The 15,715-nt window shown below is 48.7% G+C and overlaps 1 long non-coding RNA gene across 1 annotated transcript, besides 1 other annotated feature; it reads left to right on the top strand.

The window, feature by feature from the left end:
- Positions 1–1,085: 1,085 nt before the first annotated feature.
- On the top strand, positions 1,086–14,901 carry LOC124904327 (uncharacterized). Its single transcript, XR_007066419.1, has 2 exons — positions 1,086–1,285; positions 14,466–14,901. It is a non-coding gene; the product is annotated as an uncharacterized LOC124904327 (long non-coding RNA).
- Positions 2,426–2,601: a silencer, noted in NCBI's record as "fragment chr18:74503764-74503939 (GRCh37/hg19 assembly coordinates)". NCBI's record gives its function as "represses an EF-1alpha promoter that drives an FKBP-Casp9 reporter gene in an ReSE screen in phorbol 12-myristate 13-acetate-treated (for megakaryocytic differentiation) K562 erythroleukemia cells {active_cell/tissue: K562(+PMA)}" and the evidence as "EXISTENCE:reporter gene assay evidence [ECO:0000049][PMID:32094911]".
- Positions 14,902–15,715: the final 814 nt, after the last annotated feature.

Below are 15,715 nucleotides of genomic sequence, written 5' to 3'. Positions count from 1 at the left end.
AAACCTCATCTGTTCAATTCCTCCCAGAAAATGAGAAGTTTAATGCAAGCTGAGCCTTCCTACCAGCCAATTAACTTCACCTGCCCTGGGGGACAGGAAGAAGCAGCATGGACTATTTCCCTTCCACAAACCCACTCCTCCTGATCACTTTACTTTCATTAATGTATTTACTTTAGAGACAGGATCTCACTCTGCTGCCCAGGCCGCAGTGCAGTGATGTGAGCATAGCTCACTGCAGCCTTTAACTTTAGGGCTCAAGCCATCCTCCCACCTCAGCCTCCCAAGCGTGGGGATTACATGCATAAGCCACCGGACCAGCCACCCATGCTTACTTTATTTATTTATTTATTTTTGAGACGGAGTCTCGCTCTGTCGCCCAGGCTGGAGTGCAGTGGCGCGATCTCGGCTCACTGCAAGCTCCGCCTCCCAGGTTCACGCCATTCTCCTGCCTCAGCCTCCCGAGTAGCTGGGACTACTGGCACCCGCCACCGTGCCCGGCTAATTTTTTGTATTTTTAGTAGAGACGGGGTTTCACCGTGTTAGCCAGGATGGTCTCGATCTCCTGACCTCGTGATCCGCCCGCCTCGGCCTCCCAAAGTGCTGGGATGACAGGCGTGAGCCACCGCGCCCGGCCCCATGCTTACTTTAAATTGCAGGAGGCAAGAATGTTCTACAGCCAAAGTTTTAGGGAGTGATGGTTGCTCTGTGAAGCCTAAAAATTCCAACATATTTTCTTCTGTAGATTCCTGAAAGATGCTGAGAGGCTTTCACTTCACAGAAAACTACAGGTGTCAAGCCGTGTGACCCCAGGAAAAATCACCTGACCTTTCTAGGTCTCAAATTGTAAAATGAGAAAGTTGAATTAGCTGCTCTCTGAGGTCGTCACAAAGTTTAATATTCTATGACTTTTCTAGGATTGAACCATAAAACATCAAGCATTCTTTTTTTTTTTTTTTTTTTAGAAAATCTGTTGGATGATGGTTAGAAGTCAATGGCCCTGGAGCCCATCCATTTCTAGAGTTCAGAGTGTTCCTGTCTGCTCATTTGATCACAGCTGTGAGAGCGCACTGGGCTATAATAAAAATAAAAATGTACTAATGATTCACAAGTAAACTTACAGCCATCTTTCTTTATGCAGATCACTGATAGCACAGAACTGTCCCTCTCCGGGGAGATAGGGTACAGAGAGGGCAGCCACCTCGAAAGAGAAGATAGCCCTCTCCAAGCTGCTTCAATCCTCAACTCAGCCAGCCTATTGCCAGCCAGTCTTCATCTGGAGCCCAAGGTACACAGGAAAAGAGGTGCTGTTCCTCCCCGACCATCCCAGCCTTCTCCTCCTGTCCCCGCTGATCTCAGCCCCACCGGCCAGCACGCATGCTGAGTGTCGCTCTCCCCACCACCATCCCAAACTTCTTCCCCTGTCCCCCCCACCTCAGCCCTCCTACTAGCACGCATGCTGAGTGTAGCTCTCCCCCCACCATCCCAACCTTCTCTTCCTGTCCCCTCCCACCTCAGCCCTCCTACCAGCAAGCATGCTGAGTGTAGCTCTCCCCCCACCATCCCAACCTTCTCTTTCTGTCCCCCACCACCTCAGCCCTCCTACCAGCACGCATGCTGAGTGTAGCTCTCCCCCCACCATCCCAACCTTCTCTTCCTGTCCCCTCCCACCTCAGCCCTCCTACCAGCAAGCATGCTGAGTGTAGCTCTCCCCCCACCATCCCAACCTTCTCTTCCTGTCCCCTCCCACCTCAGCCCTCCTACCAGCACGCATGCTGAGTGTAGCTCTCCCCCCACCATCCCAACCTTCTCTTCCTGTCCCCCCCCACCTCAGCCCTCCTACCAGCACGCATGCTGAGTGTGCTCTCCTCGCCCACCCCCAGGACTGTTTGCCCCATCATCAAGACTCCTGTGGCGCCTTCAGCTTCAAAACCTTATCAGGGGCGTCCTCACTTCTCCTTAGCAGACTCAGGTCTCAGCTCACACTTGCACCTGCCGTGGGCTCCGTCACAGAACGTCTGCCTACCACGGAGCCCTCTGGACTTCCTGGCAGCTGCTCATGCCACTTTGCCCCGGGTTTCCATGCAGCTGTGCCACGCCTGGGTTGCGCGCCTCACACCCTGGGTGTTCCTCTGAAGCTCACTCTCTGAGCGTCCTCTCCTCAAGCTGCTGCGCTGTCCTTCCCATTCCCTGCGGGTGGGCACTCCTCAAGCTTCCCGCCTGCTCAGGCCCCACACTGTTCCTCTTGGGCGCACTTCTGGGAGCGCATCCGTGGCTCCCCAAGTGCACTTCCAGTCCTGAGCCCTCAGGTGCGCCCCGGACCTACATTTCCAAATACCTGGGGGTCCACACGTCGAAGTCCTACCACCACACCACAGTCATCCTGTCACACCCGAACTCCCTGCTCCATCCAATCTGCCGCTCTTCTAGCAACCATCTTGCTTCCCTGGGTGGCACTCCTTGATTCCCTGGCGGATCTGTCTGATCGCTCATGCGGACCATTGTTGTGGGAAACTGAGGACTAGAGAGACTGACATGGAGAACAGGAGGATTGTTTATTTCAGGTACTCACTGGCTTAGTGGATTCATATCCAAAAAGCTGAGCATTGAACAAAGACTGAGTGGGGTTTTTATAAGCAAACTTACAGAAGCAAACAAAAGCAGTTAATCACATGATAGGTCACATAATCTATAGCATAACATCACTTAACTTGTGGCCTTGCATAGCTTGTAACTTGTAACTGCATTGAAAGAAAAACAAGAACTGGCTAAATTATAGACATTTGTAAAACACAGTTATGCTTAAGAAGCCAGGGAAAGGAGTAACAGTAAAGGAATTTGTCTTTTTCCCTTTTTTTTCCTTCAACTTTGCCCTGGAAGGCGGGGTGGGGGTGTTGTCTGGAGCCCATTCCTTTGGCCTTGGTTTTTTAAACAGCATTATCCTATAACTGTCTCTGAAGTGAGCTTGCTAAGCAGAAGAAAACGTGGTCTTTTCTTTTTAACGCTTGCCTTGACTGTTACTTTTCTCGGAGTGAATAAATGCATATTTATTTTTAAATTTCTGCCTCACCACGACGTCATCGGCATGGTCGCCAGGCTCGGCTCACCACCTCTTCCTGTCTGGTCCTGCTGCCAGAGCCTGGTGTGACACCCGAATCCTCTTGACTCCTGGCTTTTGTCACCTCGCGAGCCTCTGCTTCCAGGCTCTCCTCTCACAGTCCTTCTGCTCTCCTGCCATTGGAGTCCCAGCTCTCACATTTAAGCCTGACCTTTTCGCTCCTAAGCTAAAATATTATGATGGCTTGTCAATTCCTGCACTAAGGATTTAAACATAGAACATGTGATACTTAAGATGTGCAAAATGGGAGAAGTCTTGCTATGGACACCTGCGTGCCCATCAGCACCTCCATGACATGAGGCTGGAGCCCTGTGTCCTCACAGCTGCTGTGATGCCTAACTCCAGAGCCCCCGCCCAGTCCTGCTTGCTATGCCCAAGAGTTGTGCTGTGAAAGGAGGCCTGCTTATCACTCTCCCCTGTTTTCTTCCTCCCTCGGGGAAGTGACCCACAGAGAGAGTGAGCTAGGAGTTTACCATTACCAGCCATTTCTTTATCCTTTGCTGCCTCTTATCTCTAAGCTACATACAGCACTGTTTTGCCTGCTTTATATAAGTGATAGCATGTTGTACATGTCTTTATGCATCATTTTTTACTTTCAATTTCTTTTTCTTTTTCTTTTTTCTCCTGCCTTTTTTTCCATTCTTTCTTTCTTTCTTTCTCCCTTTCTTTCTCTCCTTTCTCCTTCCTTCTTTTCTTTTCTTTTTTCTTTTCTTTTTTGAGACAGAGTCTCACTCTGTCGCCCAGGCTGGAGTGCAGTGGCATCATCTCAGCTCACTGCAATCTCTGCCTCCTGGATTCAAGCAATTCTCCTGACCTCACGTGATCTGCCCGCGTTGCCCTCCGAAAGTGCTAGGATTACAGTCATGAGCCATCGCACCCAGCCTCAATTTATTTGTAATAGAGATGGGGTCTCACTCTGTTGCTCAGGCTGGAGTGCAGTGGTGCAATCACCACTCACTGCAGCCTCCATCTCCCGGGTTCAAGGGATCCTCCCCCATCAGAGTCCTGAGTAGCTAACCACAGGTGTGCCCCACCATGGCTGGCTAATTCACTTTCAATTTTGTTCATTTTCACTGCTATGTTGAATTCCATTGTATACTATACAATAATCTTCTTATCTATTCTCCTGTGGATGAAATTTAGGCAATTTCTAATATTAAAAAAATTATAAATAATATTACTTTAGTTCATGCCACTGCACTTCGGCCTGAGCAACAGAGCAAGACCCTGTCTCAAAAAAAATCACTTTAAACATTCTTGTGCATGTCTCTGTCTATATAAATGTCCTGGAATGGAAGAGTGGACATTCTAGGGTTTTAAGTCATTTTCAACATGATTGAAATAATTTACTTTCTTACCAGCAGTGCCTGAAAATTCCTGCTGTGCATCTTCATCTTCATTTGGTGTGATTAGACTTCCCAATATTTACTAAGCTCTGGGATTTTCAGTTTTGGGAATTTCTAAGGAGGTTAAACTTCTCTTCCTTTTTCTTTCCTCCTCATGATCTGCCTTTTTATTTTTCTCTATTTTAAAAATAAGGTGTATATATTTTAATCCAGCTATTATAATGATATATTCTGGATACTAGTATTCTATCAGATAAATGTGTTATAAAGATCTTCGCCATTCTGTGGCCTAATTTAGCTTATTTTGTCACTTAATAAATTCAAGTTTTGAGTGTAATGTAATATTTCTTTTTTTGATGGAGCCTGGCTCTTGCTCAGGCTGGAGTGCAGTGGCACAATCTCGGTTCACTGCAACCTCCACCTCCCGGGTTCAAGCAATTCTCCTGCCTCTCAGCCTCCCTAGTAGCTGAGACTACAGGCACCTGCCACGACGCCCGGCTAATTTTTGTATTTTTAGTAGAGACGGGGTTTCACCGTGCTGGCCAGGCTGGTCTCAACTCCCGACCTCCAGTGATCCACTTGCCTCCGCCTCCCAAAGTGCTAAGATTACAGGCGTGAGCCACCTCACCCGGCCTAATGTAATTTATTCTATCAACCTTTTTCTCATCTCCGTGTAGGGCGGGAGAGCCTGGGGTGTCTAAACTGCGCATTGATGGATCCCATGAGAAAGCCCCGTCGGGACCGTGGGGAGCGCCAACCGCAAGCGTGGCTGGGGAGGGAACACGGGGCACTGCAGGGGCAGCTCTGGGCGCTGAGAGGCAGGTCCGGGCCTGGAGGGGCACGTGGGTGGCTGGGTTCCCAGGTGTGCTGGCAGCCCTGGCAGCCCTCGCTCACTCTCGGTGCCTCCTCTGCCTGGGCTCCCACTTTGGCGGCACTTGAGGAGCCCTTCAGCCCGCTGCTGCACTGTGGGAGCCCCTTCCTGGGCTGGCCGAGGCCACAGCCAGCTGTCTCAGCTTGCGGGGAGGTGTGGAGGGAGAGGTGCGGGCAGGAACCGGGGCTGCGAACAGCGCTTGTGGGCCAGCGCGAGTTCCGAGTGGGCGTGGGCTCGGTGGGCCCCGTACTCAGAGCAGCCAGCCAGCCCCGCTGTCCCTGGACAGTAAGGGGCTTAGTACCTGGGCCAGCAGCTGCTGTGCTCATCTTCTCTCCCGGCCTTAGCTGCCTCCCGGCAGGGCAGGACTCAGGACCTGCAGCCCACCATGCCTGAGCCTCCCCCTCCCCGCCATGGGCTCCTGCGTGGCCAGAGCTTCCCCGACGAGTGCCACCCCCTGGTCCATGGCCCCCAGTCCCATGACCCCCCAAGGGCTGAGGAGTATGGGTGCATGGTGTGGGACTGGCAGGCAGCTCCACCTGTGGCCCTGGTGCGGGATCCACTGTGTGAAGCCAGCTAGACTCCTGAGTCTGGGTGCAGACTTGGAGAACCTTTATGTCTAGCTAAGGGATTGTAAATACACCAATCGGCACTCTGTATCTAGCTCAAGGTTTATAAACACACCAATCAGCACCCTGTGTCTAGCTCAGGGTTTGTGAATGCACCAATCCACACTCTGTATCTGGCTACTCTGGTGGGGATTTGGAGAACCTTTGGGTCCACACTCTGTATCTAGCTAATCTAGTGGGGAGTTGGAGAACTTTTGTGTCTAGCTCAGGGATTGTAAATGCACCAATCAGCACCCTGTCAAAACGGACCAATCAGCTCTCTGAAAAACAGACCAATCAGCAGGATGTGGGTGGGGCCAGATAAGGGAATAAAAGCAGGCTGCCTGAGCCAGCAATGGCAACTTGCTGGGGTCCGTTTGCCGGTTGTGGGAGCTTTGTTCTTTTGCTCTTTACAGTAAATCTTGCTGCTGCTCACTCTTTGAGTCAGCACTGCATTTATGAGCTGTAACACTCACTGCAAAGGTCTGCAGCTTCACTCCTGAAGCCGGCGAGACCACGAACACACCAGGAAGAATGAACAACTCCAGACGCACCACCTTAAGAGCTGTAACACTCACCGCCAAGGTCTGCAGCTTCATTCCTGAGCCAGCGAGACCACGAACCCGCTAGAAGGAAGAAGCTCCCAACACATCCGAACATCATAAGGAACAATGCAGCTTTTAAAAGCTGTAACACTCACCGCGAGGGTCCGCGGCTTCATTCTCGAAGTCAGTGAAACCAAGAACCCACCCATTCCGGACACACAGGCGGCTGCTGCAGGGAGGGCGCACTTTCCCCAAGGCGGAAGAAACGGGAGAGCGCAGGTCTAGGCTGATTGCCGGCGCTGCCCTTGCGCGCTTGCTCACGGGCCTCCAAGATCCTGGGTTGGCTCTCGCCTTCGCCATCCTGGAGGGGCGGGACCCGGGGATGAACGGGTGATGAGGAAAGGGAACAAGAAAAAGATGTGAAGGGAATTGGAAAAACGAGAGACAGCGCCTGTGGCGGAGGCCGCCCAGTTGTAACGGGCCTTCCCTGTCCTGGGACAGCGCAGGTGCGCGCGATTAAGGGTGCAGACGTGACCCCCATGCCGGGTGGGCGCGGCCTGAATGCGCACCAAGCAGTGAGTGAACACTGATGCAGGGGTTTTCTTCTTTTTCTTTTCTGTCATAAACTCCACCAAGTCGTATGAGGTTTTCTAAAATTTTATTTTATAATTTTGTTTTTTGAGGCGGGGTCTTACTCTGTCGCCCAGGCTGGGGTGCAGAGGCACAATCTCTACTCACTGCAGCTTCAATCTCCCACCTTCAAGCGATCCTACCACCTCAGCCTCCCAAGTACCTGGAACTACAGGCATGACCCACCACGCCCAGTTAAATTTAAAAAAAATTTAGGTGCGGTGGATCACGCCTGTAATCCCAGCACTTTGGGAGGCTGAGGTGAGTGGATCACTTGAGCTCAGGAGTTGGAGACCAGCCTGGCCAACATGGCAAATCCCATCTCCACTAAAAGTACAAAAATTAGCTGGGTGTGGGGGCGCGTGCCTGTAGTCCCAGCTACTCAGGAGGCTGAAGCAGAAGAATCGTTTAAACGAGGGAGGCGGAGGTTGCAGTGAGCCGAGATCATGCCACTGCAATCCAGCCTGGAGGACAGAGTGCGATGCCAGTCTCAAACAGAAAAGAAAAAAGTCTGGCGTCTTGCTGTCTTGCCCAGTCTGGTATCAAACTCTTGGCCTCAAGGCATCCTATTGCCTCGGCTGCCTAAAGTGCTGGGATTGCAAGGCATAAGCCACCGTACCTAGCCTGGTTTTCTAAAAAAAATTAATAGACAATTTTGTTTTTACAGTTTTAGATTTACAGAATATTTGAGCAGCTAATACAGAAAGTTTTCATCTACACTCTCCCCACAACATTTCCCCTATTAATATTATCCTGCATTCGTGTGGTACAGTTATTTGTTGCAATTTTTTTTTCCAGATGGAGTTTTTGCTCTGTTGCCCAGGCTAGAGTGCAATGGTGCAATCTTGGCTCACTGCAACCTCCACCTCCTGGGTTCAAGTGATTCTCCTGCTTCAGCCTCCTGAGCAGTTGGGAGTATAAGTGCCCTCCAGCATGCCTGGCTACTTTTTGTATTTTTAGTAGAGATGAGGTTTCACCATGTTGGCCAGGTGGGTCTCGAACTCTTGACCTCAGGTGATCCACCCGCCTCGGCCTCCCAAAGTTCTAGGATTACAGGTGTGAGCCACCGCACCCGGCCTATTTGTTATAATTAATGAAGCAATATTCCTACATCATTGTTAAACAAATGCCATACTTTAAGGTTCCCTCTGTGTTGTACAGGTCTATGGCTTTGAGGAATGCATGGCATTTGCCTGCCTCTGTGGTGCCATGGAGAACAGCTCCACTGCCCTTACTGTCCCTGTGGCTTGCCTGCTCATCCCCTGCTCTTTCTCTCCACTTTTTCTCGAATGTCCTATCACTGGAATCATGCAGCATGTGTAGCCTTTTCAGGTTGGCTTCTTCCACTCTGCACTGTGCATTGAAGTTTCCTCCGCGTCTTTGTGTGGCTCAATAGCTCATTTATCTTTAGCTCATTTCTCTTATAGTGGATGTACCACCTTTTGTTTCACCATTCACTCACCGAAGAACATCTTGGGGACTTCCAGTTTTTTTGTGATCATGAATAAAGCTGCTGTAAACGTGTGTGTCTGGGTTTTTGTGTGGATGTAGTTTTCAGCTCCTTTCAGTAAATACCTAGGAGGGCAATTGGATCACGAGGTAACACTGTGTTTGGCTTCGCCAAACTGTCTTCCACAGTGGCTGCCCGTTTTGCATGTGCACCATAATGAGTGAGGGTTCCCGGAGCTCCGCATCCTCCCAGCATTTGGTGAGGCCAGTGTTCCGGGTTTCAGCCACTCTCATACGTGTGGAGTGGCATCTTGTTTTCATTTGAAATCCCCTCATGATGTATGCTATTGGGCATTATTTCATATGTTTATTTGCCATCTGTGGATCTTCTTTGGTGAGATGTCTGTTCAGATCTTTGCCCATTTTTTAATTGGATTGTTCATTTTTTTTATTGGTGAGTTTTAGGAGTTCTTTGTATATTTTTGGATATCGGTCCTTTATCAGATACGTGTTTTACAATATATTTTTAATATACATTTAATAAATTCACAGATATTTAAATAAAACATACTTGTTGAGATGTTGCCTAAAACAATTTCCCATGCTATCTGTGGTATGCTGACAACAATTTTGGGAAATATTATTTAAATCTCTCATTTAAAGTGAAATAGCAATGACAGGTTCGTTTCTGTGCCACATAATTAAAAGCAAAATAACAATAATAACATCCATGAAAATGCATTCCTCAGGGGCTGCAGCCTTTGATTTGACACTTCTGTTTCACAACTTATGGACAATGACGACCTTCGGTTCAGGATGCTTAACACATGTCAGCATTTGTTCAACACTGTTTGCTTCTGGGTTCCCCAGAAATACAGACTTGAATTATATTTATTTTATAATATTCTTGAGATGTTAATATCATTACTTCTCCCAGGGGTAGGTCTTGGGAATAGCAAAGTTTTAGACATGCTGCCTATACCAAAGGTGAGTTTTAATTTCGAGTGATGTCTAGCAAAGACTATGTAACTTTCTCTTGCACAGCGGATTCTTCAGGAGCTGTTCTTCAGAATGACACCAAAGAATGAGAATTCAGGGAAGTCTAGAGCCAGGAGCCCAGGGCTCTTACGGTTAGTTATTATGTAGTTGTTGCATGCTAAGTTGCTTAACTTTTCTGAGGCCCAATTTATTATTCTATTTAGAGTAAGTGATTGCCAATGTTCTCTCTAGTTCTGTCAGTTTGATGATTCCATGATATTTGAGGCTTACCTTTGAGACACAGAAAATTGCTACATAGAAAACTCTGCAAAGTCGCAGGATATGCCTGACATTTCGCCACAAGGGGAAGGATATGAAAGATTCCGCTGGCTCTCAGCTGATAACCCAAAACAAACAGCGAAGGTGTAGGTAGAAAAGCAGAAGCTCATCTTAGATGACTGCGACACTGGTTACCATGTGAGGAACACACGTGTCTCAGATGACTGCGACACTGGTTACTGTGTGAGGAACACACACGTGTCTCAGATGACTGCGACACTGGTTACCATGTGAGGAACACGCACACACGTGTCTCAGATGACTGCGACACTGGTTACCGTGTGAGGAACACGCACACACGTGTGTTCGTAGGTTGGGCTGAACGCATTCAGCAATGAAGTGAGTACGAATAAGAAAAAATGAGAAATCTTCAATGAAAACCTCGAGGTCTAAAACGAGACCATTGCCATCATTTTAGGACCATTAACGTCAACGGTCCTAGGTTCACCCGAGAGCCTGGGCCTTGGTGAGCAAGAACCCTGCCCCAGGAGGGGCCTGGCCAGCTCTGGGGTTGGGGCTCACCCTCGCCTGGAGTCCTGCACCGGCATCTGGGAGCTCCCAGCCCCTCCCGCAGAAGCGCGTGGTGGATTGTGAGTGGCGTGAAATCCTTACAGAAGCACTGAGCACAAGACGCTCTCAGTGAGTCAGCTGTTGTTACGCCCAGTGGGCACACCTTCCCAGTCCTGGAGCTGTGTGGTGCCATGCAGCTGTGCAGAGAGCTCCAGAGCCCGCCTGGCCACCCCTCGGCCTCTGAATGCCCCCTGCTCTGCCTTCGAGCCTTCCTCTCCTCCCTCCATCCTTCCTCAGAGCCTCTGGTCTTCACCTCTCCCAAGGACCTGCTGCATTTCGGGACTGACAAATTTCCCTGGAGGCAAAAGGAGAACGTCAAAAAATTAGGTGAAACACAAAATATTTCTGTAGCCTTTGTAATTCCAAATAAAATCTGGAAAGGATAACGAGACACTTTGTTTTCCTCAGTCAATGCAGCACAAGGGATTTCTTCCTATGCTTGTTTTCTCTTTTTCTTTTCTTTTGGTGGTTTTTTTTTTTTTTTTTTTTTTTTTGAGGTGGAGTCTCACTCTGTCGCCCAAGCTGGAGTGCAGTGGTGCGATCTCGGCTCACTGCAAGCTCTGCCTCCCGGGTTCACACCATTCTCCTGCCTCAGCCTCCCGAGTAGCTGGGACTACAGGCGCCCGCCACCACGCCCAGCTAATTTTTTTGGTATTTTTAGTAGAGACGGGGTTCCACCGTGTTAGCCAGGATGGTCTGGATCTCCTGACCTTGTGATCCGCCCACCTCGGCCTCCTAAAGTTCTGGGATTACAGGCATGAGCCACTGCGCCCGGCTGGCCAAACCTTCTTCACCCAGCGTGTTTCTACCTAGCATTTCCACCTTGCCTTAGCTGGCCTAGCACATGGAAAGCAAACAAAAAGCAATGAAGTTCCAATTCCTTGTGTAAACCAGAAAAAAAGTTTTTGCAAATGAGATGAAGGTTATATGTGTTTATTACTGCATTGGAGAAAGACCAGTTGGATGGCTTGTCCTCAGATTTGGCGGGCATATTTGGCTGTCAGGTGTCTGACTTCACTTCGGGGAGTCCCAGGGATCCCCATCTATACGGGGCAGCTGTCTTTCCAGGAGGCTGAACCTGAGGGGCAATGGGAGGCGGCATCACTGTTAATCCAGAGAGCAATGCCATACTTACCACAGTGCTGTGGGCGTAGAAACGCAAGCAGTGGGAGGGAAGAGAAGCCCTAATGAAAAGTCGTAAGGGCAGCTGCTCCACATTCCAGGTATGGATTCTTTTATTCCAGCTGCTTGTTATTGAGCAAGTCTACACAGCATTCCCAGGTGGGGGAGGAAAAAGGATTTGCTCATATATTTATTTATTTGCTTACTTTCTTAGTATTAATGACAAACAGTTCTTCCAAAAAGATATCAGCAAACATGGAGATGAACAAACTCACTTTTGAATTCTAAGTGCTGTCCAAGTCACAGTTTCCCATTTCTTCCATGCTGATGATGGCAGGTAGGTATATAAACTGGCAGGCTGGAGGAAACCAACACTAAATGCGAAGAGTGGGTTATGTGTGTTTTTAATGTACTTCTTCATATTTTTTGGGATTTTCCCAGTTTCCAAGTACAGTGACAATGTCTTATTTGTAGAATCAGAAAATCACAGTGAATACAATTTTCAGTTGTGTGGTCTTTCCTCCCTGCGTACTAACCCGTTAGTAGGCAGGGGGAGGACCATGCAACTGACAGGTGACATGCGAATAGCTGCTCTCCACATGCAGAGGAATCTGAACTCTCCCCACTGTGTTGATTGTTCCTCGTGGCCCAAGGAACAATGACGGGCTGGGAAGCTATGCCTCTCTCGGTACCAGCAATTAAAGTCTTAAGAGGACTTGGCAACTTCTTTCTTTCCTCCCTTCCTTCCTTCTTTTTCTTTCTTTCTTTCTTTTTTTTTTTTTTTTTTGACGGAGTCTCGCTCTGTCGCCCAGGCTGGAGTGCAGTGGCGCCAAACTCAGTTCACTGCAATTTCCCCCTCCCGGGTTCAAGCAATTCTCCTGCCTCAGCCTCCCGAGTAGCTGGGACTACAGGTACCCACCACCACCCCCAGCTAATTTTTGTATTTTTTAGTAGAAATAGGGTTTCGCCCTGTTGGCCAGGCTGATCTTGAACTCCTGACCTCAGGTGATCCACCCACCTCGGCCTCCCAAAGTGCTGAGATTACAGGCGAGTGCCACCATGCCCAGCCTAGACTTGGCAAATTCTTTCTTTTCTTTTTTTGAGACGGAGCCTCACTCTGCCGCCCAGGCTGGAATGCAGTGGCGTGATCTCAGCTCACTGCAACCTCTGCCTCCTGGATTCAAGTGGTTCTTCTGTCTCAGCCTCCCGAGTAGCTGGGACTACAGGCGCATGCCACCAGGCCCGGCTAATTTTTGCATTTTTAGTAGAGACGGGGTTTCACCATATTGGCCAGGCTGGTATTGAACTCCTGACCTCATGATCTGCCCACCTCGGCCTCCCAAAGTGCTGGGATTACAGGCGTGAGCCACCACGCCCAGCTGGACTTGGCAATTTCTAATTCCAAGGTCATGTTCAATTTTCACATTTCATTATTGAAAAATACTCTGTGCAAGAACTTGAGATACTCCATGAAGAAGGGAGAACAACTAACATTATCCTTTGTTCTGGAAGGCTTTCATTCACTAACTGTTGGTTAGTGATGATTTGAGGTTTTCAAAACATTTGCTGAGACTAATTTTCTATTAGGTTAGAAAACCTGTTCTACTTCTTTAAGAGCCTAGCTGCTTCCATTTAAACAGCCTTTGCATCTGCTGCTAGGAGAAGAGGGAGGCATCCCTGCTTTGGAAACCTTGCCATGCTGCTGAGTGGCTACAGATGTATTGGAGTCTTTTACCGCAGCGTTATCAACTGTCAAAAAAAAAGCACCAATAAACATTTTCTTAATGGCACCAAGAGCTTGGGGTCTTAGAAATAAACTTCATTAGCCAGGCGTGGTGGCTCACGCCTGTAATCCCAGCACTTTGGGAGGCCGAGGCGGGCGGATCACGAGGTCAGGAGATGGGGACCATCCTGGCCAACATGGTGAAACCCCATCTCTACTAAAATACAAAAAATTAGCCTGGCATGGTGGTGCACACCTGTAGTCCCAGCTACTCGGGAGGCTGAGGCAGGGGAATCGCTTGAACTTGGGAGGCAGAGGTTGCAGTGAGCCGAGATTGCACCACTGCACTCCAGCCTGGCAACAGAGCAAGACTCCGTCTCAAAAAATAAATAAATAAATAAATAAAATAAAATAAAAAATAAATGAACTTCATCCTAGAGGAAAAAAAAATTGAATTACAAAACTTTCTTCAAGGCTCAAAGCTTATTCCTAGATGAACCCTCTATAAGCAATGAGTTATACAGAGGTAGTGGATCAGCCAGCTTGGCTGTCATAACAAAATACCATAGACCAAACAGCTTAAACAAGAGACAGTTATTCCCTGACTGTTCTGGAAGCTGGAGGTCCAAGGTCAAGGTGCCAGGAAGGGAAGTTTTTCAGAGGCCTCTTTGCTTGACATGCAGGTGGCCACCATCTGGGCTGTGCACTCACCTGGCCTCTTCTGTGTGGTGTGCGTTCGGAGGTGGGGAAAGAGAGGGAGCAACCTGTCTGGTGTCTCCTTTTATAAGGGCACTAATTCCATTAGATTAGTACTTCATTTAACCCTAATTACTTCCCAAAGGCCTCATCTCTAAGTGCCATCCTACTGGGGGTTAGGGCTTCAACGTAGGAATCTTGGGGTGATAAAAACATTCAGCTCATAACAGATATTTCTAATGCAGAGCAAACGTCTTCTTTACGTGAAGCAGGTGTGTGCTTTACCATGTGTGTTTTCCATTGCTGCAGTCACAAATTTTCACAAGCGTAGTGGCTCCAAACAGCACAGATCTATTCCCCTACAGTTTCAAAGGTCAGAAGTCTGGAATGAGCTTCTCTGGGTTAAAATCAAGGTGTTGCCTGGTCGTGTTGCCTTCTGGAACCTCTAAGAGAGAATCCGTTCCTTTCCTTTTCAGGCTTCCAGAGGCCACCACCTGCTTCCGCCTGCAGCCCCTTCCTCCATCTGCACAGCCAGCCACGCTGCATCTCCTGACAGTTCTGTGGGCACAGCTCCCTCAACCGCATCTGGGAAGGAGTCTCCACTTTGAAGGACTCGTGTGATTCCAGCGAGCCCACCTGGAAAATCCAGAATAATTTCTCTACCTCACGGTCCGTATCTTAGTCACATCTGCAGAGTCCCTTTCACCATGGAAGGCGACCCAGCCACAGGTCTGGGGACTGCACATAAGCATCTCTGGAGCCATGATTCTGCCTACCACATGTGCTAGTAAAAGAAAGCTCTCCGTGTCTTGTTCTAACATCACTACATGCCTCTCTTTATGTGTCTTGAATTTTGCATATTCTTAACATGATTTCAACAGTAACAACAACAATAAAAAACTTGTGACCCCATTGCCTTCATCTGTTTGTGCAGCTATAGCAAAATATCTGAGACCGGGTAATGTAGAAAGAACAGAAATTTATTCTGCCACTGTTCTGGAGCCTGGAAGTTCAAGGCAGATTTGGGGCCTGGTAAAGGTGGCTCTCTACATCCAACATGACGCCTTCCTGCTGTGTCCTCTCATGGCAGGAGAGGCACAAAGAGATGACTGCTGTGTCGTCAAGAGGCAGGAGAGATGGAGGAGCTGAAGAAATCAGAGTGCTCCCTTCAACCTTTTTTATAAGGATGTTAATCCCATTCATGAAGGCTCAGTCCTCATCACTTAATCACCTCTAAATGCCCCGCCTCTTAATACGATTGCATTGGTGATTAGTTCACCATGGGAATTCTGGGGGGACACCAATATGGAGACCACGGCAGCTGTGTCGGTGAGGCTCTTGTGAAAGCCAGCCCATCCTCAGGCAGCATCGTTTACCCAGGCTCTAAGTGAATGAGGCTGTGGCCGTGACTGCTGTGGTTCATAGAGTAGTTGAGCTTATTCTGTGCTAAGGACCCAGGATGCCCTCATGGTCGCAGCAGACAGGTAAGCAGCTATTTCAGTGGCACACGGGGAGTGTCAAAATAGAGGGACACAAATCCAGTCTCCAGTAGCTGTGTTCCAGCCGGGAGAAAAGTCAGCTAACATATGCAGGTGGACGAGGTGACAGATGTTTTATGACAATGACCCAGGATGCCTTCACCAGCTTCCTCTATTCCAGTCCCATCAGCTTACTAGACAGAAAACTCCAATAGTGTGTCCAGAGTTGGTGGCTTCTTGGTCTCACT

This window comes from Homo sapiens, chromosome 18 (assembly GCF_000001405.40).
Source record: "Homo sapiens chromosome 18, GRCh38.p14 Primary Assembly".
In the NCBI taxonomy this organism is placed as follows: Eukaryota; Metazoa; Chordata; class Mammalia; order Primates; family Hominidae; genus Homo; species Homo sapiens.
This window is presented reverse-complemented; position numbering and strand designations above follow the sequence as displayed.